The sequence below is a fragment of the Homo sapiens genome, chromosome 14 (assembly GCF_000001405.40).
Source record: "Homo sapiens chromosome 14, GRCh38.p14 Primary Assembly".
Taxonomy (NCBI): domain Eukaryota; kingdom Metazoa; phylum Chordata; class Mammalia; order Primates; family Hominidae; genus Homo; species Homo sapiens.
This window is the reverse complement of record NC_000014.9, coordinates 70,554,245-70,581,228: the sequence shown is the minus strand read 5'-3', so window position 1 is coordinate 70,581,228 and position 26,984 is coordinate 70,554,245. Positions and strand designations below refer to the sequence as shown.

At 38.4% G+C, this 26,984-nt stretch overlaps 1 protein-coding gene and 1 pseudogene across 1 annotated transcript in view; one reads left to right on the top strand and one right to left on the bottom strand.

Annotated features, from left to right (window-relative positions):
* The first annotated feature begins 1,776 nt into the window (after window positions 1–1,776).
* ADAM20 (ADAM metallopeptidase domain 20) overlaps window positions 1,777–26,984 on the top strand; it is a 57,095-nt gene continuing 31,887 nt past the window's right edge. The window contains exon 1 of the mRNA XM_005268151.4: window positions 1,777–25,601. The gene's annotated coding sequence lies outside the window, so the exon portion shown is untranslated. The remainder of the gene's footprint in view (window positions 25,602–26,984) is intronic.
* LOC100420563 (ADAM metallopeptidase domain 20 pseudogene) lies at window positions 23,735–24,358 on the bottom strand (annotated as a pseudogene).

Below are 26,984 nucleotides of genomic sequence, written 5' to 3'. Positions count from 1 at the left end.
GCTCTAGGGAACTAATGCAGTGTACATAGGCTCATTTTACTATTTTATTCAAATTGCTGGCTCATGAAGCTCCCTTTATTCAACTTTAGTTGATGATGTGAAAATACTTACCAAAATGGTTATACCAGTTTATACTCCAGCCAGCAGAGTATAAGGCTCCAGTTGTACCACACCTTTGTTGACCCTTGATATTGCCAAGGAAAAATTTAGTCATGTGTTCAGTGGTATCTTTTGGGGGCTGCAGTTTACATTTCCTGGTAATTGGTGATGAACATTTTTTCATATGTTTGGCTACTTGGATACTCATTTTTGTGTTTTCAGGTCTTCTGCACATTTTTTTTATTGGTTCATCAACGTGAAATACATTCATGTTGTACTTTCACTTCACCATTATTCATCTCCAGAACTTTGTTATCCCAAATGGAAACTCTGTACCCATTAAACAGTAACTCCACTTTCCCTTTTTCCTCTAGCTCCTGGCAACCACCATTCTACTTTCTGACATTGACTAGGTACCTCATATAAATGGAATCTTACAGTATTTGTCGTTTGACTTAGCATGATGTCTTCAAGGGTTATTCTGTATTGTAGCATGTGTCAGAATTTCCTTTTTAAGGCTGAGTAATATTTCAGTATCTATGTGTGTGGACACACATCTTGTTTTGTTTATTCATCTTTCAGTGGACATTTGAGTTGTTTCCATCTTTTGGCTATTGTGAATAATGCTTCTATGAACACTGATGTACAAATATCTGTTTGAGTCCCTGCATCCAATTCTTTTGTGTGTGTATTCAGAAGTGGTAATTCTATTTTTAACTTTTTGAGGAACCACCATGCTGTTTTCAATGGCAGCTGTACCATTTTACATTTCAACCAGCAATCCCTGAGGGCTCCAATTTCTCCACATCCTCACCAATCCTTGTGATTTTCTGTTAATAGCTATCCTAATAGGTGCAAGCTGGGATCACTCTGGTTTTGATTTGCAATCCCTAATGACTAGTGATATTAAGATTTTCATGTGCTTATTGGCTATTAGTTTAGCTCCTTTTGAAACATCTATTCAAGTGCTCTGAACATTTTTTTAAATTTAATTTTTTAGACTGGATGTGTGTGTGTGTTTTATTATTGTTTATTTTTGTTGACTTTGTCAAATATCGATTGTAGGTGTGTGGCTTTATTTCAGGGGCCTCTATTATGTTCCATTGGTCTATGTGTCTGTTTTTGTACCAGTACTATGCTGTTTTGGTTACTGTAGTCTTGTAATATAGTTTCAGGTTGGATAATGTGATGCTTCTGACTTTATTCTTTTGTTTAGGATTGCCTTGGCCAATCCATGAGTGTGGAATGCATTTCCATTTATTTGTGTCATCTATGATTTCTTTCAGCGATGTTTTGTGGTTCTCATTATAGAGATCTTTTGCCTCCTTAGTTGGATGATGTATTCTTAGGTATTTTGTTTTGTGTCTATTATAAATGGAATTGCATTCTTGGTTTGGTTTGCAGCTTGAACATTATTGGTGTATAGAAATCCTACAGATTTTTATATGCTGATTTTGTATCCTGAGACTTTGCTTAAATTATTTATTATGTCTAGGAGTCTTTGGCAGAATCCTTAGAGTTTTCTAGGTATAGAATCATATTGTCACTGAAGAGAGATATTTTGACTTCCTTTTTTCCCTATGTGTATGCCTTTTAATTCTTTGTCTTGCCTAATTGCTCTGGCTAGGACTTTTTGAGCAGACACTTCCAAAAAGACATACAAGCAGCCAAAAAACGAAAAAAATGCTTAATATTACTAATCATCAGAGAAATGCAAATTAAAACCACGACGAGATACCATCTCATGTCAGTCAGGATGGCTATTATTAAAAAGTCAAAAAACAGATGTTGGCAAGGATGTGGAGAAAAGGGAACACTTACACACTTGGTGGGAATGTAAATTATTTCTGCACCTGTGGAAAGCAGTTTGGAGATTTTTGCAAAGATCTAAAAATAGAAGTCCCATTCGACCCAGCAATCCCATTACTGGGTATCCTACCAAAGGAAAGTAGCTCATTCTACCAAAAAGACACCTGCACTTGTATGTTTATTGCAGCACTATTAACAACAGCAAAGACATGGAATCAGTCAAGGTGCCCATCAAGAGTGGATTGGATTTTAAAAATGTACCTATACACCATGGAATACTATGCAGCCATAAAAGTGAATCAAATAATGTCCTTTGCAGCAACATGAAAGCAGCTGGAGGCCATCATCCTAAGCAAATTAACACAGAAATGGAAAACCAAATACCACATGTTCTGACTTACAAGTGGGAGCTATACATTGAGTGCACATAGACACAAAGATGGGAACAATAAGCACTTAAGATTCCAAAAGTGGGGAGGGAGGGGGGCAAGCGTTGAAAAACTTATCAAGTACTATGTTCCCTACTTCGGCAACAGCATCATTAGAAGTCCAAACCTCAGCATCACACAATATACCCTTGTATCAAACCCCCATGTGTACCTCCTGAATCTAAAATTTAAAAAACAGGCATCTGTTCATGTCCTTTGCCCACTTTTAATGTTATTTGTTTTATTCTTGTTCATTTATTTAAGATCCTTATAGATTCTGGATATTAGTGCTTTGTTGGATGCATAATGTGCAAATAATTTCTCCCAGTCTGCAGGTTGTCTGCTTATTCTGTTGATTGTTTCTTTCGCTGTGCAGACGCTGTAGTTCAAGTGAGTCTCATTTGTCTATTTTTTGTTTTTGTTGCATTTGCCTTTGAGGTCTTAGTCATAAGTTCTTCACCTAGGCCAATGTCCAGAAGAGTTTTCCCTAGATTTTCTTCTAGGATCTTTATAATTTGAGGTCTTACATTTGAGTCTTTGGCACATCCTGAGGTAGTTTTTGTATATGGTGAGTATTAGAGGCCCAATTTCATTCTTCTGCATATACCTAGTCAGTTTTTCCTGCACCACTTACTGAATAGGGTATCCTTTCCCCAGCATTTATTTTTGTTGACTTTGTCAAAGATCATTTTAAAAAATGATTTTTTTTGGTGGTTTTGAATTGTAGAAGTTCTTTTATATATTCTGGATGTGAATTCAGTATTAGTTTTATGATTCACAAAGATTTTCTCCTATTCTGTGTGAGTTGTTTTTCATTCTGTTGATAGTGTCCATTGATGTACAAAAAACTTTAATTTTTCTAACGTCCAATTTATTATTTCTTCTATTACCTGTGCTTTTGGTGTCATCCAAGAAATCACTGCCAAATCCAATGGCATCAAGTGCTTCCCTTATGTTTTCTTCTAAGTGTTTTCCAGTTTAAGCGCTTACATTTAGTTCTTTGATCCATTTTGAGTTAATTTTTGAATATACTGTAAAGTAAGAGTCCAGCTTGTTCTTTTGCATGTGTATATCCGGTTTTCCCAACTCCATTTGTTGAAAAGACTATTTTTTCCATTGAATAGTCTTGGCACTTGTCAAAAACGATTGACCTTGTATTTGAGAGACTCTATGGTATTCCGTTGGTCCATACGTCTGTCTGTATACCAGTACTACACTGTTTTTGATTACTGTAGTTTTGTGGTAAGTTTTGAAATCAGGATGTGTGAGAACTCCAATTTTGTTATGTTTCAAATGAATTTTAGGGGTTATAGTTCTGTGCCAACCATTTTTCTTTCAAGGCTTGAAAGTAGTTGTTTCATATATTTGTTCTAGTGTTCTAGTTCTTATGATGTGAGGACGTATTTGGTGCCAGTTACTCCACTGTGGCAGACAGTGGAAATCTAGTAGTTTTCAATTTTATCAAACACATTTTATATGTACTTTTTTGGGAGGAGCATCTGTTGAGATAACAGATGATACTTCTCTTTTCTTCTGATAAGATGATGGATTACACTGTTTTCATTTTCATCCAAATGTTAACCGATGTTGTATTTCAGGAATAAACCCCACTTTTTCATGATATTATTTTTTTATGTACTATTGAGTTTAATTTGCTGAGATTTGGTTTAGGATTTTACACTTGATTTAACACTTAAGATTAGCCTGTAATATTCTCTTTCCTGTAAGTTCTTTTTTATTTTGGTAACAAGGTTACGTCAGCATCATATGAGTTGGGAAATATTCTCTTCCATGAAAGAGTTTGCATACCAAACAGTGCGGTTCCTGGAAGGGCTTCTAAGACCTTTATGTGTTTGAATGCTTGTTCTTGTACCTAGGCTTTCTTACCCTTTTCTTTGCCTTCCTTCTTCTTGCTTATTCTTCACAGCCCAGCTCAGGGAACATTTACTGTGGGAAACATTTCCTGAGTTTTCTGGTCTCACTGGGTTGTGAATCCCCCTTCTGTCTATTGTGAAGGCAGCTTAATCCTAGCTCTTTCCCTAGCGGGAAAACGTTAGCAAGTCATTCTATTTATTTTTGTAAGTGTTTCAGTGGCATGCTTAACACAGGGCACTGCTAATACCTGCTACAAAGCCCATTCTCCTTCCCCCTCATGTCCCTCCTCAACCCTCTTTATGTACCCTACGTAGTTCTGACCTCCTTCTGTTACCCTGCTCTCTGTGAATTACTCCATGCACATGGCACATGTCGGATATTGCCATCTGCTTGTTAGTATCCACTGTTGATCTTGAGTTTCTGAGGGTCAGTTGTTTATGGCTATTGAGTACATGAATGAATGAATGAGTTTTCTTATTTCTTCCTCCAGTGTGGTAGAATCTAGCAATGAAACTTGTATTATATTTGGATAGAAGAGTTTTAGTTGTAGATTAATTTTCTTTCCTATTCAGATTTTTTAAAAAAAATTTTATCAGCTTTTGTAAATTATATCTTTCTAGTTAGTAATTTGTCTATTTAAATTTAAAGTTAAGGCTAAATTAAAGTTAAAGTTAAGGCTAAAGGTTGTTTGTAATAGTGTGTGATATTTGAACGTCTGCAGAAGCTGTTATGCCCCCTTCTAAAATTTCTGACAGTTGCATTGATAGTTGTCTCTTTTTCCGATCAGTGTTAGTAAAGTTTTACTTTTTTTCTTATCTTCAAAGAACAAACCTACACTTCTGTTGATATCTTTGTTTTATTAACTTCTGATCTTTATTATTGCCTCAATTCTACTTTCATTTATTTTAATTTTTATTCTTTTTAAACTTTTTGAGATGGATACATAGCTTGTTGATTTTGCCAGCTTGATTTTCTTTTGCAGTTTTAGAATTGAGTTAAACATGCTAACTGCATTCCGTAAGCTTTAGTCTGTTGTATTTTCCTTAACATGTAGTTTTAAATATTTTTGAAAAATCTCACACAACACTATTAATTGACTCTACTTGGGTCTTCTGTCTATCCATATTGTATATTCAAATTTTTGTCTCCTTTTTAAGGCTCATTTTGAAATGCAACCTTTTCTGAGAAGCCTTTCCAGAAAACTTTCCCTCTTCTAAAGATCTATAGTTGTCTGGTAATACCTTCCTTATGACACTTATTTTTACCTAGAATTATAGTTACTTATGTATATCTCAGATCTCACTTTGAACAGCATGTCCCTTGAGAACAAACTCTCAACTGAAAATTTTAATAATATGCATATTTTTTAGTTTTACTGAGGTATAATTTTAAACAAAATTTTACAACTTTATATGTCTTGTTTAGTTTGTATATGTGCATATACTAGGTGATACCATTACCACGAACAAGGTATTAGACATATCTGTTGCCTCTAGATTTTTTTGTGTGTTCTTTTGTGGGTATGGGTGTGTTGTAAAGAATAGTTAACGTGGGATCTATTCACTTAATGTATTTAAAAGCAGACACAGGGTTTCACCATATTGGCCAGGCTGGTCTCAAACTCCTGAAACCCCATCTCTACTAAAAATACAAAAATTAGCTGGGTGTGGTGGTGTGCACCTGTAGTCCCAGCAACTAGGGAGGCTGAAGCAGAAGAATCGCTTGAACCTGAGAGGTGGAGGTTTCAGTGAGCTGAGATCACGTCACTGCATTGCAACCTGAGTGACCGAGCAAGACTCTGCCTCAAAAAATATATATATATTTATATTTTATATATATATACATACATATATTTTAAAGTACACAATACAATATTGTTAACTGTAGGTACTATGTTGTGCAGCAGATCTCTAGAACTTATTTATCTCGTGTTACAGAAAATTTATACCAATTGAAAAACAATTTCATGTTTCTTCCCCCTCTATCCTCTGGCAACTGCCATTCTACTCTCTGCTTCTGTGAGTCTAGTATCTTTTTTTGGTGCTTCATTAAAGTAGATTCATCTAGTATTTGTGTGTGTTTGTGATTGGCTTTTTTTACTTAGCATAATGCCCTCTAGGTTCATCTATGTTACTGCAAATGGCAGGATTTTCTTATTTTTTAAGGTTGAATGGTATACCATTATATATATATGCTGCGTTTTAAAAATTCACTTGTTTGATTTGTTTTTCTAGTCTCTATTTCATTTATTTCTGCCCTGATCTTTGTTGTTTCTTCCTTTTGCTAACACCAGGCTTCGTTTTTCTCTAATTCCTTGAGATGTAACATTAGCTTGTTTATTTGAGATCTTTCTTCTTTCTTTCTTTCTTTTTTTTTTTGAGACGGAGTCTCGCTCTGTCCCCCAGGCTGGAGTGCAGTGGTGCGATCTCGGCTCACTGCAAGCTCTGCCTCCCGGGTTCACACCATTCTCCTGCCTCAGCCTCCTGAGTAGCTGGGACTACACGCACCCGCCACCATGCCCGGCTAATTTTTTGTATTTTTAGTAGAGACGGAGTTTCACCGTGTTAGCCAGGATGGTCTCAATCTCCTGACCTCATGATCTGCCCACCTCGGCCTCCCAAAGTGCTGGGATTACAGAGCCACCATGCCCGGCCTCTTCTTTCTTAATGTAGCATATATTGCTATAAAATTTCCCCTTTGTACTGCTTTTGCTGCCTGTTACAAATTTTGGTATGTCGTGTTTTCATTTGTCTCAAGACATTTAAAATTTTTTTCTTTGACCAACTGGTAGTTCAGGAGTATTAATTTCCACGTTTGTGAATGTTTTACCTTTCCTCTTATTGATTTCTAGTTTCATATAATTGTTGAAAAAATATTTCAGTCTTCTTTAATCTGTTAAAACTTGTTATGTGGCCTAAGGTGATCTTCTAAAGAATGTTCTGTGTGTGCTTGAGAAGAACTGCTGTTGGCTAGACTGTTCTGTATATAATCTGTTAGGTCTATTTGATTTAATGTGTTGTTCAAGTCTGCTGTTTCTTTATTGATTTTCTGTCTGGATGACCTTTCCACTGTTGAGAGTGGGCTACTGAAATCTGTTATTGTATTGGTATCTACTTTCCTCTTTGTTCTATTAATATTTGCTTTATATCTTTAGGTGCCCTGATGTTGGGTATATGCAATTGTGTCTTCCTAATGAGTTGACCTTTTTATCATTATACAATGATCTTTTTTGTGTCTTGTGACAGTTTTTGATGTAAAGTCCATTTTGTCTGATATAAGAATAGCCACCTCTGTGCTCTTTTAATTACCATTTTCATGAAATATCTTTTCTATCCCTTCACTTTCAGCTTAAATGCACCCTTATAGCTAAAGAGAGTCTCTTGTAGGCAGCATCTGGTTGGATCTTGTTTTTGTAGTCACTCAGCCACTCTGTCTTTTTTTAAAAAATTATAAATTCAGGTGGTGCTTGTTATGTTGGTGTATTGGGTAATCCTAGGGTTTGGGCTTCTAATGAACCCATCACCCAAATAATAAACGTAGTACCCAATAGGTAGTTTTTCCAACTCTTTCCCATCTTCGTCCCCCACCCTTGGAATCCCTAGTATCTAATATTTCTATCTTTATGTCTCCTGTGTATCCATTGTTTAGCCAATTGATAAGTGAGAGCATGCAGTATTTGATTTTCTGTTTCTGCATTAATTCTCTTAGGGTAATGGCCTCCAGCTGCATTCATGTTGCTCCAAAGGACACAATCTCATTTTTTATGGCTGTGTAGTATTCCATGGTATATATGTACCACATTTTCTTTATGCAATCCACCTTTGACAGAAACTTAGGCTGATTGCATGATTTTGCTATTGTGAATAGTGCAGTGATAAACATACAAGTGCACATGACCTTTTGATAAAATGATTTCATTTCCTTTAAGTATATACCCAGTAGTGGGATTGCTGGGTCAAATGGTAGTTCTATTTTAGTTCTTTGAGAATTCTCCATACTATTTTTCTACAGGGGTTGAACTAATTCACATTCTCTACCAACAATTTATAAGCATTCTCTTCTCTACAGCCATACCAACATCTATTTTTTTTTTACTTTTTAGTAATAGCCATATTACCAGTGTGAGATGATATCTCATTGTGGTTTTAATTTGTATTTTTATCTGATGATTAGTGATGTTGAGCATTTTTTCATGTTTTTTGGCTGCTTGTATGTCCTTTGAGAAATCTGTTTATGTCCTTTGCCTACTTTTCAATGGTGGTTTTTTTTCTTGTTGATTTATGTTCCTTATAGATCATAGATATTAGTCTTTGTTAGATGTGTAGTTTGCAAATATATTCACCCATCTGTAGGCTGGCTGTTTACTGTGTTGAAACTGTTTCTTTTGCTATGCTAAAGCTCTTCAGTTGAATTAAGTCTGATTTGTCTATTTTTGTTTTTGTTGCATTTGTTTTTGAGGTCTTAGTCATAAATTCTTTGCTTGGGCCAATCCAGAAGAGTTTTCCCTAGGTTTTCTTCTAGGATTTTTATAGTTTGAGGTCTTACAGTTGAGTCTTTAATCTGATTTGAGTTAATTTTTGTATATGGTGAGAGGTAGAAGTCCAGTTTAATTCTTCTTTATATAGCTAGCCAGTTTTCCCCAGCACCATTTATTGAATAGGGAGTCCTTTCACCATTGATTGGTTTTGCCAACCTTGTCAAAGATCAGATGGTTGTAGAGGTGTGGCTTTATTTCTGGGTTCTCTATTCTATTCCATTCATCTATGCATCTGTTTTTGTAGTGTAGCAGTAAAATTTGAATTTGGGTAATGTGATGTCTCCAGCTTTATTTTTGTTTGGGATTTCTTTGGTTAATCAGGCTCTTTTTTGGTGCCATGTGAAGTTTCCGTAATTTTTTTGTAGTGCTGTGAAAAATGACATTGGTAATTTCATAGGAATTGTGTTGAATCTGTAGATATCTTTTGGCAGTTTGGTCATTTTAGTTATATTGATTCTTCTAATCCATGAGCATGGAATGTTTTTCCGTTTGTTTGTATCATCTATAATTTCTTTCAAAAGTGTTTTGTAGTTCTCCTTGTAGAGGTCTTTCGCCTTCTTGGTTAAACATATTCCTACTTATTTTTTGTGTGTGGCTATTTCTAGATGGAATTGAGTTCTTGATTTGGTTCTCAGCTTGAATGTTATTGCTGCACATTCTACTGATTTTTGTACATTGATTTTTGTATCTTGAAACTACTGAATTTGTTTATCAGGTCTAGGAGTCTTTTGGATGAATCTTTAACGTTTTCTAGGTACAGGACTATGTCAACAGTGAACAGAGATAATTTGACTCCCTCTTTTCCTATTTTGATGTCTATTGTTTCTTTCTCTTGTCTGATTGCTCCAGCTAGGACTTTCAGTACTATGTTGTATAGGCATGGGGAGAATGGATGTATTAGTCAATTCTGATGCTGCTTATAAAGACATACTTGAGACTGGGTAATTTATAAAGGAAAGAGGCTTAATTGACTCACAGTTCAGCATGGATAGGGAGGCCTCAGGAAACTTACAATCATGGCATAAGGGAAAGCAGACACATTCTTCTTCACATGATGGCAGGAAGGAGAAGTGCAGAGAGAAGGTGGCGGGGGAAGCCCCTTATAAAACCATCAGATCCTGTGAGAACTGATTCACTATCCCAAGAACAGAATGGAGGTAACCACCCCCATGATTCAATTACCTCCTACCGGGTCCTTCCCACACCACATGGGGATTGTGGGAACTACAGCTCAAGTTGAGAGTTGGGTGGGGACACAGCCAAAGCATATCAGTGGACATCCTTGTCTTGTTATCATTCTTAAGGGGAATTCATTCAAATTTGCCCATTCAGTATGATGTTAGCTGTGGGTTTGTCATAAATGGCTTTTATTATTTTGAGGTATGTTCCTTCGATGTCCAGTTTGTTGAAGGTTTTTATGAAGGGATGCTGGATGCTATTGAATGCTTTTTCTGTGTCTGTTGAGATGATCATACAGGTTTTGTTTTTAATTCTGTTTGTGTGGTGAATAATATTGATTTGTGTATATTGAATGATCCTTGTTTCCCAGAAATAAAGCCCACTTGATCATGATGAATTATCTGGTTGATATGATGTTGAATTAAGTTTGCTAGTATGTTGTTGAAGATTTTTGCATCTATGTTCAGAAAGTATATTGACCAGTAGTTTTTTTTTTCTGTGTCCTTGCTAGATTTTGATACCAGGGTGATGCTAGTTTTGTAGAATGAATCAGAGAGGAATTGTCCTTGATTTCCTATAACAGTTTCAGTAAGATTGGTGCCAGCTTTTTGAACATTTGGTAGAATGTGGCTGTGACTCTGTCTTGCCCAGGGCTTTTTTTGGTTGGTAGATTTTTTATTACCGATTTAATTATCTAACTCATTCGTCTGTTCAAGATTTCAATATCTTTCTGGCTCAATCTTTGGAGGTTGTGTTTTTCCAGGAATATATCCATTTCTCCTAGGTTTCCTAGTTTGTGTGCATAGAGATGTTCCTAGTAGTCTCTGGTGATCTTTTTTCTTTCTGTGGTATCAGTTGTAATGTCACCTTTATCATTTTTTATTGTGGTTATTTGAATGTTCGTTTTTTTCTTGAGTAATCTTGCTAGCACTCTATCAATTTTGTTTCGATGAACCAGCTTTTCATTTTGTTGATGCTTTGTTGTTGTTGTTTTGGTCTCAGTTTCATTTAGTTCTCTAATATTTCTTTCTTTTTTTTCTGATACCTTTGGATTTGGTTTGTTTTCCTAAGTCCTTTAGATATGACCTTAGGTTGTTAATTTGAGATCTATCTTTTCACGTAGGCATTTAGCAGTATAAACTTTCCTTTAAACACTGCTTTTGCTTTACTCAAGAGGTGTGGGTGTATTGTCCAAGAAGATACTTGATATGATTTCAGTTTTTTTGCATTTATTGAGACTTGCTTTATGACCGAGCTTGTGGTCAAATTTAGAGAATGTTGCATGTACAGATGATTAAAGAAGTGGGTATTTGCGGTTCTTGGGTGGAATATTCTGTAGATGTCTATTAGGTACTTTTGGTCAAGAGTCCAGTTTAAGTCCAGAGTGTTTTTTTTTTTTTTTTTTTTTTTTTTTTTGTTAGTTTTCTGCCTCAGTGATCTGTCTAATGCTGTCAGTGGGGTAGTGAAGTCCCCCACTATTATTGTTTCACTGTGTATCTCTGAAGTCTACTAGTATTTGTTTTATAAATATGGGTACTTTGACATTGGGTGCAGGTATAGTTAGGATAGTTAAGTCTTCTTGATTGAATTGAATGTTTTATCATTAAATAATGCCATCTTTTTCATTTTCTTTTTTTAGCTTTGTTCATTTAAAGTCTGTTTTATGTGCTACAAGAATAGCAACTCATCCTCTTTTTTGTTTGTTTGTTTTTCATTTGCATGATAGATGTTTTTCCATTTCTTTACTTTTAGTGTGGGAATGCCGTTCCCTGTGAGGTAGATCTATTGAAGGCAGCAGAATACTGTTTTTTAAATCCAATTTGCCACTCTGTGTCTTTTGAGTAGGGTATTTAGACCATTTACATGTAAGACTAATATCGATATGTGAGGTTTCATTTCTGTCATAGCTTTCTTAGCTAGTTGTTTTGTAGTCTCAATTGTGTAATTGTTTTGTAGCATCTGAGAACTTTGTACTTATGTGTTGTTTTATGGTAGCAGTATCATTCTTTCGTTTCCATCTTTAGAACTTCTGTGAATATTTCTTGTAGGGCTTATCTGGTGGAGACAAATTCCCTTAACAGTTGCTTCTCTAATAAAGGCTTTATTTCTCCCTTATTTATGAAGCTGTTTGGCAGGATATGAACTTTTTGGCTGCCATTTTTTTTTCTTTAAGAAGGCAAAAATAGGCTTCAGTCTCTTCTGGCTTGTAAGGTTTCTGCTGAGAAGTCTGCTGTTAGTCTGATGGGACTTCCTTTATAGGTAATTTGGGCCTTTTCTCTAGCTACCTTTAAGGTTTTTTTTTGTATTAACCTTGGGAACGGTTGTGTTGTATAGTATCTCTCAGGTGTACTCTCAGTTTCTTATATCTGGTTCTTGACCTCTCTAGCAAGATTAGGGAAATTTTCCTGAATTATTTCCTCAAATATGTTTTCCAATTTGCTTGCTTTTTCTTTGTATTTCCAAAGGCTTTGTTCTTTTTTTTGCTTTATCTGGGTTAATTTGAAGGACCAGCCTTCAAGTTCTGAAATTCTTTCTTCTGCTTTGTGTAATCTGTTATTAAAACTTCCAGCTGTATTTTGAAATTCCTTTAGCAAAATTTTCAATTTCAGAAGTTCTATTTGTTTTTTTCTTAATACAGCTATCTTGTCTTTCATACCCTGAATTATTTTTCTAGTGTCTTTGTATTGGATTTCAACTTTCTCTTGGATCTTACTGAGTTTCCTTGATATCCTTATTTTGAATATTTTATCATTTCAAATTTTTCAGTTTGGTTAGTATCCATTACTAGAGAGTTGGTGCAATCCTTTGGAGGTGTCAGGACATCCTGGCTTTTTATACTGCCAGAGTTCTTGCTGATTCCTTCTCGTCTGAGGAGCTGCTACTTCTCATTTTTGAGTTTGCTATCATTTGCATGGGATCTTTTAATTTTTCAATCCTTTTTCCCTTTAGGGTATGACTGTGGTGTATGTTGTGTATGATCTTTTTGTTTCATTTATTGGTACTTTCAGTGGGCCAAGGCTGTATATGGGTACGTTGGTTGTGGATAGCCTCTGTGTAGTGACTTTCTTAGATGCTGATTGTTGTAGCGATGTATTGAACATATGAGCGGACACACTATTTCCTGTGGGATTGAGAGTGCAGGTGCATAGGTCTTAGGAAACTTATCTCAGACTAGCACTAAGCCCTTCTGGTAGCAGGTTTTTTGTTTGGTGGTGCAGTTCAGGCTGTAGTCCAGTAGATGGAGATGACACTTAAGAGTAGGAGACAGCTCATGCCCAGGCTGATGTCAAGTGGTAGCACCTGTGTTGACAGGAGGCATGAGAGGGGTTAGGGGGCCAGTGGGAACAGGAAGCAATCTTGTTGGGGCCCGCTGAGATCTTGGAGGAAAGGTTGGGGAGGTGCACCAGGTCCTTATCCTGAGTCAGCAGGAATGCCATCTGCTTCCCTATCTTGCCCCTGTTGCAAAGCTCACGACCTTAGTTCATAAATACTTTTGGTTCCTGGTTGCAGAGCAGCTGTGGGCCACCGAAACACCCTCTTGAAGGCTTGGACAGAGTATCTTACCCCAGTTCAGGGCAGGCAACTCTGTGATTTCTCTGTTCTCTGTTGCTGGGATGCTGCCATTCTGTGTAGGGAGGGCGAGTTAGGCCCCGCCATTCGAGTAAACCCCATGCAGCATGGGCTTACTTTGAGTAGGGATGGAGCTGCTGTGAAAAGCTTAAAAAATGCTTTCTCCGAATGCATTCCCCAGCCCCCAGTGGGAAGAACCTCTGCTGTGTCTGCAATAGTGTATGGCATTGGATGGGTGGGAGATGTCCCTCTCTCCATGTTCATTTCCTGGTGTTGGCACTGCCTCCTTCAGCAATCAGTGCTGCATCCACATTCCCTTTGTCCTAAGGGGACTTTGGTAGGCTGCACTCCCTTGTTGGTAGCCCATGCTGGTGGTTAGATCTCCAGGGGCCTCACAACTTCCTGGGGGCCCATCAGTCTCCTGTGCTTGCCAAAGCCAGAGTGGGTTGTAAGTTATATTTGTGAGGGTTCTGGTGGTGTGATGACTCAAGGGCGGAGAAACCCTAGGCAGGGCAGAGGTCCACTAGGTATCTACACCAGTATTGCACCTGTCATCTCAGTTTGGGTCAGGGGAGTACATGAATTCCTACAGGAGCTAGCCAGCTGGTTCTCTATCCCTGGGAAATTCCCAAGTCACCACCGATAGCTTTGCCCTAGGTCATGAGGACAGAGGGGTTCCCAACAGTTTGGTGGTCAGCAGATTGTCAGAGGGGTGAAGGGAGCAGAGCAGCATTCCCACCTTTTTTTTTTGAACGGAGTATCGCTCTTGTTGCCCAGGCTGGATTGCAATGGCATGATCTTGGCTCACTGCAACCTCCGCCTCCTGGGTTCGAGCAATTCTCCTGCCTCAGCCTCTTGAGTAGCTGGGATTATAGGCACCTGCCACAATGCCTGGCTAATTGTTTTGTATTTTTAATAGAGATGAGGTTTCACCATGTTGGCCAGGCTGGTCTTGAACTCTTGTCCTCAAGTGATCTGCCTGCCTCGGCCTCCCAAAATGCTGTGATTACAAGTGTGAGCCACCGCGCCCGGCCTCCCGCCTACTTTTTCTGCAGGATTCCAGGTTTCTCTGGGGTTGATCTCTGCCAGATTCTTCCTCTTTGTCTTTTGTTTGGGGAATTTAATTGATTTACATATAAAGTAATTATTGATGGGTAAGGGCTTACTATTGCTATTTCATTAATTTTTTTCTGTCTATTCTGTAGTTCTTTTCTTTCTTTCTTCTCCTCCCCTTTTGTCTTCTTTGGTGACTTGATTTTTGTAGTGTTGTGCTTTGATTTTTTTCTCTTTCTCTTTTGTGTATCTCCTGTAAGTTTTTTCCTTTCTGGTTACCATGGGACTTACATAAACATATTTCTAACAGTCTATTTTAAGCTGATAACAGCTTAACTATGCTCACATACAAAACTACCCATTTATTCTCCCTTAATTATTTGTTATTGATGTCACAATTTACATCTTAAATTGTGTATCCATTAATTGTTATAGTTCTTAGTACTTTTGTCTTTTAACATTTATATTAGGGTTAAAAGTGACTTACATACTTTACAATATTAGAAGATTCTATATTTACTTATATATTTACCCTAACCAGTGAGTTTTATACTCCTGTGGTCTTTCATGTTGCTATTTAGTGTCTTTTTGTTTCAACTTGAGCAACTTCATGTAGCGTTTTTCATAAGGTAAACATAGTGGTGATGAACTTCCTCAGCTTTTGTTTGGGAAATTTTTTCTTGCCTTCATTTCTGAAGGACAGCTTTGCTGGGTATAGCACTCTTGGTTAGTAGTTTTTTTTTTTTCTTTCAGCACTTTAAATATGTAGTGATCCCCCGGTACCTGTGGGGTTATCCAGGAAACTCCACAGATAATACAATCCACAAATTCTAAAGTCTGTTGTATAAAATAATGTATTTGCATATAGACCATGTACATCTTCCTGTATACTTTACATCAGCTGTAGATTACTCATTATACCCAATAAAATGTAAATGCAACATAAATATTTGTTCTAACTATATTACACTTTTTATTTAAATTTTTAATTGTTAGATTGTTTTTTGTTTTGCTATACAGTTGCTTGAATCTCCAGATGCAGAACATGTCGATATGAAGGGCTGACTGTATATATCATCTCACTCTCTTGGCCTGCATAGTTTCTGATGAGGAATCTGCCAGTAGTCTTATGGAGCTCCTTTGCCTGTAATGAGTCACTTTTCTCTTGCTGGTTTGAAAATTCTGTAGTTGTCTTTGATTTTTGACATTTTGACTATAATGTCTTGTTCTAGACCTTTTTGGATTTATTCTGTTTGGGCTTCATGAATCTGGATGTTCATTTCCATGCCCAGATTTGGGAATTATTGAGTCATTTTTTTAATTAGGGTTTTTACCGCTTTCTCTTTCTCTTCTCCTCTGGGCCTTCCATAATGTATATATTGGTTTGATGGAGTACCATGATTTCCTTAAGATTTCTTCACTTCTTTTCATTATTTTTTCATTTTGCTGTTCTGGCTGTAATTTCAAATTGCCCATCCTCGAGTTTTCAAATTCTGTCTTCTGCTTGATAAAAGTTTGCTGTTGAACCTCTCTTGCGATTTTTTAAATCCAGTTATTCTTTAATAAAATCCAATTTTCTAGTATTTTAAAAATTTAATTATATTTATTTTATTTTATGTTATTTTTAAGATGAGGTCTTGCTGTGTTTGTTGCCCAGAGCTGGAGTGCAGTGGTGTGAGCATAGCTCACTGCAGATTCAAACTCCGGGGCTCAAGCAATCCTCCTGCCTCAGTCTTCTGAGTAGCTGGGACTACAGGCATACACTACCATGCCTGTCTATCAAAAAAAAATTTTTTTATACAAGGGGTCTTGCTGTGTCACCCAGGCTGGTCTTAAAATCCTGGCTTCAAGCAGTCTTCCCACTTCAGCCTCTTGAGTAGCTGGGATTACAGGTGTGAGCCACTGTGCCTGGCTAAAAAAAAAAAAAAAAAAAAAAAAAAAATTGCGTCTATCTCTTTGTTGATATTCTCAGTTTGTCCATGTTTTATTTTTTGATTTAATTTAATTGTCTATCAACATTCTCTTTTATCTCACTGAGCTTCTTTAGGATGATTAATCTGAATTATTTTCAGTATTTGAAAATTCCCATTTTCACTTCATAAATTCCCATTTATTTTGGGTGAGTTGGTAGAGATCTATTTTCTTGCCTTTTTTCAATGTTTTCTTGATTCTTCATGTTTCTTATATGATTGTATTCATGTCTGCACATTTGATGAAACAACACTTTTTCCCTGTGTTGCAGAACAGTATAAACTATAGAGAGGCACCCTCCCTTCGTCTCTTGTTCCTGGCTGGTCCAGTCATTTAACTGTCCCAGGCATCTAGATTCTACTGTTTTTAATGCTAAGTATGAGACAAGATAGAAATCAGGCCCTTGGAAATGCACTGAAAGTTTGGGGACAAAGCTCAGTTTGTTTTTCCCACTCACTCCTGAAGAGAAAGCCTTAGTTCTCTGACTTTTACCAATCTTGCTCAGCAGCGCTGGTGTAAGAGTTACCTGCCCCCTCTGTTTTGCTCCTAGTTGTCTCAGGCTCACAGGCTCTACCAGTCTTTCAGTGCTTCAAATGTGAGATGACAGAAATTAGCCCTTGGGGAGTACACTGAAATGGCAGTAGGCCAGGCAGCTGGCACACTCTTCACTGTCTCCTTCCCACTCATGGGAGAAGTCATGGGCTGAGGTGATCCTCTGGCTCTGAACTAAGCCAGTTTGGGGGAGGGACTGATGTGGGAAAATTAAGTTTGCTCTTTGTATTAGGCCCTTCTTTCATTGCTATAAAGAAATACCTGAAATTAGGTAATTGATAAAGAAAGTAGATTAATTGGCTTATGGTACTGCAGGCTGTACTAGAAGCTGCTGGCATCTGCTTGGCTTCTAGGGAGGCTTCAGGGAGTTTTACTAATGGCGAAGGTAAAGTGGGAGCTTGCATGTCACATGGCAAAAGCAGGAGCAAGAAATAGAGTGGAGGGGGGCAGGTGCCACACTTTACAGCAGCCAGGTCTTGGGAGAATACACTCACTATTACAAGGATACCACAGAGCCATAAGACATCCAATCCTGTGACTCAAACACCTCCTAACAGGTTCCACCTCCAACGCTGGGGATTACATTTCAACATGAGTTGCAGGCGGGGACAAATGTCCAAACTGTATCACTCTTCTTCCTATGTTGGTTGCAAGTTTTCTCAGCTTTGTTCTTGCGTAGAACAACACAGTTTTTTAACTGGATTAAAAGTTTCTCACACAGGTATTTCAGTCCAAATATTATTTTTGTGTTTCTGAGGGTAAACCAACACCAGAGTTCCTGCTCTGCCATCTTGATGTCATCTCTACACATCTACTTTTTTTCCCCTAGAATGTCTCTCTCCCCTGCTTGCAATATAGCAAACCTTTTCCTTTGGGGAATTGTTCATTTCTGTGTACTCCAGTCGTGAGGTTGTAATGAGGGCTGCTAATTACCTGTCACTCTCCTTCTGGCTTCAGGGAAGGGTGTGTGACTTAGACCTGGCCAAATGGGTCATCTCATTTGGTCCAGTTATGGTCATGTGACTCAAGCAGTGACAATGTGTTCATTTCTGGATTTCTAAATGGCAATTGTGAGAATTCTTCTCAGATTGCTAAGGAATATGAATCCAAAGCTGATTGAAAGTTGTCAAGTTTCGTTAATGAATATCCTACTGTAGGGAGTATGGTTGGCAGACATTGAAATAGATGTAATTTAGAGAAATGACAAGCTACCAACATTGAGAATTCTTACTCAGAAACATATATTTCTCCATTTATTCAGAAGTTTTATTAGTTTGTTCTCACACTGCTATAAAGAACTACCTGAGACTGGGTAATTTATAAAGAAAGGAGGTTTAATTGACTCACAGTTCCACAGGCTTAACAGGAAGCATGACTAGGAGGCCTCAGGAAACTTACAATCATGGCAGAAGGCGAAGGGGAAGCAAGCACTTTCTTCACTTGGTGGCAGGAGAGAGAGAAAAAAGGGGGAAGTGCTACACACTGTTAAACCATTGATCTTGTGAGAACTCACTCACTATCATGAGAACAGCAAGGGAGGAATCTGCCCTATGATCCAGTCACCTCCAACCAAGCCCCTCCTCCAACATGAGATTTGGATGGGGACACAAATCCAAACCATATTATTTCACCCCTGGCCTCTCCCAAATCTCATGTCATTCTCACATTGCAAAAATACAATTATTCCTTCTCAACAGTCTCCCAGCTTTAACTCATTTCAGCATTAACTCAAAAGTCCACAATCCAAAGTCTCATCTGAGACAAGGTAAATTCTTTCCATTTATGAGCCTGTAAAATTAGAAACAAGTTACTTCCAAGATACAATGGAGATACATGCTCCCATTCAAAATGGGAGAAATTGGCCAACACAAAGGGGCTATAGGCCGCATGCACTTCTGAAACCCAATAGGGCAGTCATTAAATCTTAAAGCTCCAAAATAATCTCTTTTGACATGATGTCTCACATTCAGGGCATGCTGATGCAAGGGATGGGCTCCCAAGGCCTTGGGCAGCTCTGCCCCATGGCTCTGCAGGGTACAGCCCTCCTCCCAGCTGCTTTTGTGGGCTGGCATTGGGCGCCTCTGTCTTCTCCATGTGCTCGGTTCAAGCTGTCCATGGATCTGCCATTCTGGGGTCTGGAGGATGGTGGCCCTCTTCTCACAGTTCCACTAGGCAGTGCCCCAGTGGGGACTCTATGTGGGGACTCCAATCCCACATTTCCCCTCTGCATTGCCCTAGTAGAGATTCTCCATGAGGGCTCTGCCCCTGCTGCAGACTTCTGCCTGGACATCCAGGCATTTCCATACATCCTCTGATACCTAGGCAGAGGTTTTCAAACCTCAACTCTTGCCTTCTGCATCCTGCAGGCCCAACACCATGTGGAAGCTGCCAAGGCTTGGGGCTTGCACTCTCTGAAGCCATGACCCGAGCTGTACTTTGGCCCCTTTTAGCCATGGCTGGAGCTGGAATGGCTGGGATGCAGCCATTCCCACGTCCCAAGGCTGCACAGAGCAGTTGGGCCCTGGGCCTTGCCCAGAAAACCATTCTTCTCTCCTAGGCCTCCAGACCTGTGATGAGAGTGACTGCCAGGGAGGTCTCTGAAATACCCTGCAGACATTTTCCCCATTGTCTTGGCTATTAACAGTCAGCTCCTCTTTACTTATGCAAATTTCTGCAGCAGGCTTGAATTTCTCCCCAGGAAATGTTTTTCTTTTCTACTGTATGGTCAGACTACAAATTTTCTAAACTTTTATGGTCTGCTTCTCTTTTAAATACAAGTTCCAATTTCACACCATCTCTTTCTTCATGAATATGTGCATACACTTTTAGAAACAGCCAGGTCAAATCTTGAATGCATTGCTGCTTAGAAATTTATTCCACCAGATACCCCAAATCATCTCTCTCAAGTCCAAAGTTACATAGATTTCTAGGGCAGGGGCAAAATGCCACCAGTGTCTTTGCTAAAGCATAGCAAGAGTGACCTTTACTCCAGTTCCCAATAAATTCCTCATCTCCATCTGAGACCACCTCAGCCTGGACTTCATAGTTCATATCACTATAGGCATTTTGGTAAAAGCCATTCAATAAGTTTCTAGGAAGTTCCAAACTTTCCCATATCTTCCTGTCTTCTTCTGAGCCCTCCAAACTGTTCCAACCTCTGAATGTTACCTAGTTCCAAAGTCACTTCCACATTCTTAGGTATCTTTATAGCAGAGCCCCACTCCTGGTACCAGTTTTCTGTATTAGTCCATTCTCACACTGCTATAAAGAACTTCCTGAGGCTGGGTAATTTATAAAGAAAGGAGGTTTAATTGACTCACAGTTCTGAAGGCTTAACAAGAAGCATGACTGGGAGGCCTCAGGAAACTTACAATCATGGTGGAAGGTGAAGGGGAAGCAAGCACTTTCTTTACATGGTGGCAAGAGAGAGAGAGTGAAGGGGGAAGTGCTACACACACTCTTAAACCATCAGATCTCATGAGAATCATTATCATGAGAACAGCAAGAGGGAAATCCACCCCATGATCCAATCATCTCCCACCAGGCCTTTCCTCCAATTCAACATGAGATTTGGGTGGGGACACAAATCTAAACCATATGTTTTCTGATTTTTGAAAAAATTTTATAATTTTTTTCTATGAGTCTGTCACATTTCTTTTCAGGTTTGCTCATAGGTGTTTTATAATTTTAGTTGATATTGTGAATAAGATCTCCCTCCCTACCCCCATTACATTTGCTAAGTGGTTTTTGATATGTTACTGGAAAGCTGCTGGTTTTGGAGTGTTTATTAGCATCTTTATTCAGCCATGTGCCTGGACCATTATAAAATCTTTTTTGATTGAGCCTTTTTTGTATTCTAGGTAGACTATCAGAAAGTTCATAAATAGTGATAGTTTCATGTTTTTATTTCTATTTCCTTTCTGTTTTAGTAATACATTTAAGATTGCCATTAAAATATTGACAAACAGTTATTCCAGGCAACATCTTTACCTCATTCATGAATGTCTTTTAATACTCCAGATTATTTTCTATGAATATTTTTTATTCACAGCTTTTAATAAATTTTATATTGGATGAGTATTGAGTTGGATGAAAACATATTTTGAGAATGCTTTAGATTTTCCTACATTTTCTCCCCTTTATTCTTAATGTAGTGAATTAGGTTAATGGATGACACAATAACATAATAATTATTATTAACACAAGAGCAATAAAAGAATAACCTCCCTATCTTGGTCATAGCCTAGTTATTTAAATACATTCCTTTATTCAAATGGATTTACTTCATGGATCATCCATCCCTTGCTTGCTTCTTTCCTTTCTTCATCTTTACCTCTCTCCTGCTTTCCTTCCCTCCATCTACACAGGTCAAAGGAGCAGCAAGAATAAAGACCCTGAGATGGGTGTATGCTTTGGTCTGTTAGTGGATCAGCAAGGAGACCAGCTGAAATGAACAAAGGGAAGAATAAATAGGACATGAATTAGGTAAAAAAGGAGAGAGCGATAGTGATGGCAGGAGGTATATTGGGTACAACCTTGTAAAGCATTGTACAGACTTTTACTATGAATAAGATGGGAAGCCACTGGAGCATTCTGAGCAAAGTAATGATATGATATGACTCATATTAAAACAGAACTTCCCTGATATATGGGAATTGAGTGTCGAGTATAAGAATGGATGCAGGAGACATGTTAGGAGGCTAAGGCAATAATCAAGGTGGGAAACAATGGTGAATTTGACCAGGGTGATAATGATGGGGATGGTGAGAAGTGATTAGATTTTGAAGGTTAAAACAACAGGATTTGCTGACAGATCGGTTGTGTGGTATGATGAAAAAAAAAAGGAATTAAGGATGACTGTAAGCTTTTTTTTTTTTCTAGGCAACTTGAAGGATAGAGTTGGGATTAACTGAGATGGGGAAGGCTGTGTGTTAAGCAGGTTTAGGGAGGAGGTGGTGGGAGGAGGGAGCTAAAGAATTCACTTTGGACATATTTATTTTCAGATGCCAATTAGACATTTCAAGTGATGATGCCATGTAGGCAGTTTTTAGGTTGAATTTAGGTTTTACAGAAGTCCCAGGCAGGAGATATACATTTTGGCATCATAGAATATATATGGTCTTTAATACCATGAGATGGATGAGATCATCAATAGAATGAGTACAATAGAATGAGTACAGAGAGAGTTAAAAAGATGTCCAAGGACTGAGCACTGGAACTCTAACAACACTTAGTGTTAGGGAAGATAGGGAAGATATAAAATAATAGCAAATGAATATGAGAAGTAGCAGCTACTGAAGTGATCCCATGGAAACCAAATGAAGAAAGCAATTCAAAGAGGAAGAAGTCATCAACTCTGTCAAATGCTTAGTTTTTTGTTTGTTGTTTGTTTATTTGGCAAATGTTTTTCCCTTTGCCTGAAATGTGTGTATTCTGCCTCCCCACTTTTATTTGTATATTTTATTTATTTTTACTTCATTTTCATGTCTCCCCTCCAATAACTTGTACTTCCAAGAACACTGTGCACACCCATGTTATAGCATTTACCCCACTCCACTATAGTTCTGTACTCTTATCTGTTTCTCCCAGCTGGACAATGAGCAACTCTGAGGGCAGGAGACTCTACAACTCTGAACACTGTACTTGGCACCACACACACACACACACATTCATACATGTATAACACACAGGCACACAGATACATATGTTTGAAAGTTAAGTAATTCACCAGCATCATTATCCAGATATCTAATTGGCAGCTAAAGACAGCTAGAATCTCCAGGGTTCCTTTCTAGTAGCCAGGGTAGTAAATATCAAATCCGATCTATGTATGTTTTCTTACCAGATTCCTTTTTGAAACTACTTCACTGGAGATCCTGGGCTTTCTACAAAATCCTTGTATTTGACTACAAGACTTTTTATATCTCTTTATAATTTTTGTCCCTTTATGGCTATTTTGTTATCCTTATTCTTTGCTTTGATTGCTTCTACCATTTCTCCTTCAGATTTTACAAAGGGAAGCTGTACCTGTCAATATTCTGTCTCTGTGATTGTGCCACACACTTGTTACCTTATATCTGGTTAAAGGGTATATCCACAGAGCTAATATGATAAAAATAGTGGAACACATTCCAGGATTTCCTACTGAGTGCAATCCTACCTTAAATGGAGAGAAATGAGTCCTTTTTAAGGATCAGATGTTTAATTTAAAAAATTCAGTGCCTGTTTGTCTTTCAATTAAATACAAGGAACCAAGAAAATCTGCCTTTGATCATATCTTCTTAATCAAGGGTGTCCAATCTTTTGGCTTCCCTGGGTCACACTAGAAGAAAAATTATCTTGGGCCACACATAAAATACACTAACAATAGCTGATGAGCTAAAAAAATTGCAAAAAAAAAAAAATGTTTTAAGAAAGTTTATGAATTTGTGTTGGGCTGCATTCAAAGCCATTCTGGCCCACATGCAGCCCATGGACAAGCTTGTCTTAATTAATGACCTGGAAGTCACTGGACAGTGATCATGCACTATCTTCTCTTTCCAAAAATGTTTTCTTTGAATAAGTGAATACTTTGTAATACTTCTATTTCCTATTTAAATCCTAATGACATTTTCTTGAGTAAAAACTTTGTTGAAAGCAGTACTCTGATAAAAGTGTAAGATAATGAGGCAAGGCAAAAGAGTGTGAGTAGAATTACGGTGCAAAGAATTGTTAATAGTTGGGGAAGGAGACTACCCCATAGAGCTGAACCACTGTTTGAGCTTCTTCCATAGCCGGTAAACTCACAGTAGGTAGGGTCCACCCATATAAACCGTGGCAATCTTATGACATTTCTCCAATTTGCAGTCATATATAGAATAATTGACATAGCTCCTTCTCATATATATCTTTTCTAGACCACACAAAGTGCCGTCTTTTACTTGCCCAATATCAACTGTATCCCTTCCAAAGTAATAGTTCCCCAACACCTGGGACCATTAACTGATTTTTTAATTATAGCATTATGTTGTTTTACCTTGGAAATTGTTTATATGTTTTCACAGTGCACTCTCACACAAATTATTTGACGAAGGGCATCTTTTGTATATTAAACCTTCCATGCCACAGGGACTGAAATGATCTCCTTGTATATTAATTTTTATGGCAGCTCAGAGAGGCATTCCTTGCTGTCTGGCCAAAAATATATCAACATCGTTTATTGTGACTGTTGCATATTTTATGATAGGAGTAGACACTGTAGACCACAAAGTGTCCTATCTGATACACAGGGATCCTCAGGGCACCACCTCGCACTTTCTTTTTGTTTTTTGAGGTATACTCCCATGTATACCTAAATCCATGCATACTTAAGTCCTGTAGTTGGCCCTGCAGAACCTGTGTATACGAAAAGTTGGTTTTCCATATATGTGGGTTTCACATTCTGTGAATACTGTATTTTCTGCATCTGCGTTTGCAGAGGGCCGACTGTATTTATTGAAAAAATCGCACATGAGTGGGCCTGTACAGTTCAAATCCACGTTATTCAAGCGTCAACTGTATTTCCTCTTTTGTTAAGCCAATTTCATGGCGACAATTGAATCCTATCTTATCTGGTGTTCGAACATATGTGGTAAAATGCCTTATGGGCTCGATTTCATAAGTTTGCTTGGTTATCTGTATCTGTGCATCCCTCCATAGTTTTCCAAAGGGGTGCTGAGAACTCCCAGAGACTCGGGGCTGGGGGCTCCATATAACCGTGATAGTAGCAGTCATCTTGGACAAAGGGCTTTTCCTCGTGGGGAGCGTACTGCTCCGTGCAGGTGAACACTAGGAGGTGCCTGGAAAGGAAGAGCCTTTTAGGCCTTAAACCAATGATGTGGGTATGGCGCCGGCAGGTGCAGGCCATTAAGACAGCCCTCAGACTTGTTGAAGGCCCCACTTCGCCTGGGAAAATTCTGGGGAATCACCACTTGGGCGGGGCAGAGCGCCAGTAGGGCCTGGTTTGTGCGCCGCTGGCAGGGACCAGGAGCGTCTCCCGAACAGCAGGAGAGCGTCCTGCTGCAGCCTTCCGGCTGCACATGTTTCAGGCAGCTGCCTTCTGGAAAGACTTGGTTGGTGACTGCTAGGAAAGTGGGCGTTGGAGACTAGAGTCGGAAAATGCTCTTCGGAGGAGGGAGCCCTGCCTCGTGGGTTTGTTGGCCGCCACCGCATCCGGGGAGTGGTTTCTCGTCCTTGGTCCGTTAAAAGGAACTGTTGCAGGTAAGGCTGGGATTCTAGGGAGAGGAAGCTGGCAGGAGAGAGGTTTAACGGAGAAAGTAGATGGTGAAAACAAGAGGGAATTGAACCAGAAACTAAGTGGTTTGAAAGGGAGAAGTAAGAGGGTGCAGAGGGACGAGTAGAGACAGCAGAAAAAGTTGCACTGAGGTGATGGAAATTAAAGTAAATTCAGAAGAGAGAAACGTAGGGAATCTTGGCCACACTGTAAGAGGCTATGGAAAATTATAGCCAAGGCTGGTTCACGCCTTAATGTCTGTCGTGAAAAAAAGAAGGTAAAACTAAATTTTCAATAAGTTGTTTCCACAGAGAACTGATAAAGGTTTGCTAAATCTAGCTGCTGGCTGTCCGTAAAAGGGATTTAATGCAAGAGTTTCCCAAGAAAGACTAAGAGGGTGTTCGTATATTTTCACCAAATTCCTGCAGTAAATAGTGTGCATGTTATAGAAAATTCTCTAAACAGTGTGATTTTTCACCTTTTTTTAAAAAATTGACAGTTAAAATTGTATATATTTAAGGTATACAACTTGATGATTTGATATACACTTGCCTTATGAAGTAATCACCACAGTCAAGCTAATTAATATATCTACATCTCACACAGTTATCATTTCATTTCTTTTCTTTTTTTTGTGGTGCGAACACATCAGATCTACCTGCTTAGTAAATTTCAAGTATAAAATACAATACTGTTAACGATAGTCATATTGTTTGTTGTACATTGCATTTCCAGAACTTATTCACTTTCGTTACTGAAACTGAGGCAGGTAAATAGGGTCCGAAGGCCAGGAACATAAGGGCGATTCACACTTCAGCTATAACTGGAAATATTCTCTCCATCGGGCGTACACCGTAAATGACTTCGTAACTTCACTTCATCCTCTCCATTTACATAGGGCATACCCGAAGCAACCAATGGAATATTCTAGCGGGTATTTAAACTCCTAAAAATTCTGTCACGACGCCTTTGAGCCCCCATGCTCGGGCCCTCTCCCACACTGTGAAGTGTACTTTCATTTTCAATAAATCCCTTCGTTCCTTCCTTGCTCTGTTTGTACGTTTTGTCCAATTTTTTCAAGATGCCAAGAACCTGGACACCCTCAACTCTTAACAAAACTTTGTACTCCTTGACCAATGTCTTCCCATTTCCTCCTACCCCTAGCTCCTAGCAACCACTATTCTATTCTCTGCTTCTGTGAGTCTATTTTAGATTCCACTTATAAGAGATCAAGCAGTATTTGTTTTTCTGCATCTGGCTTATTTCATTTAGCATGATGTCCTCCAGGTTTATCTGTGTTGTTGTAAATGGCAGGATATTCTTCTTTGTTAAGGCTGAATAATATTCCCGTGTGTGTGTGTGTCTGTGTGTGTGTGTGTCTATCACAATTTCTTTATCCATTCATCTGTCGACAGACATTTAGATTGTTTCCATATCTTAGCTATGTGAATAATGCTGCAGTGAACATGAGAGTGCAGTTATCTCTTTGAGATCCTGATTTCAGTTCCTTTGGATATATATTTATAAGTGGAGTTGTTAATTGTTCTAGTTAGTAGGTAGTTCTATTTTTAATTTTTTAAGGAATCTCCATACTTTTTTCCATAATGGCCATGCCAATTTACATTCCCACCAACAGCGTACAAGGGCTCCATTTCTCCAC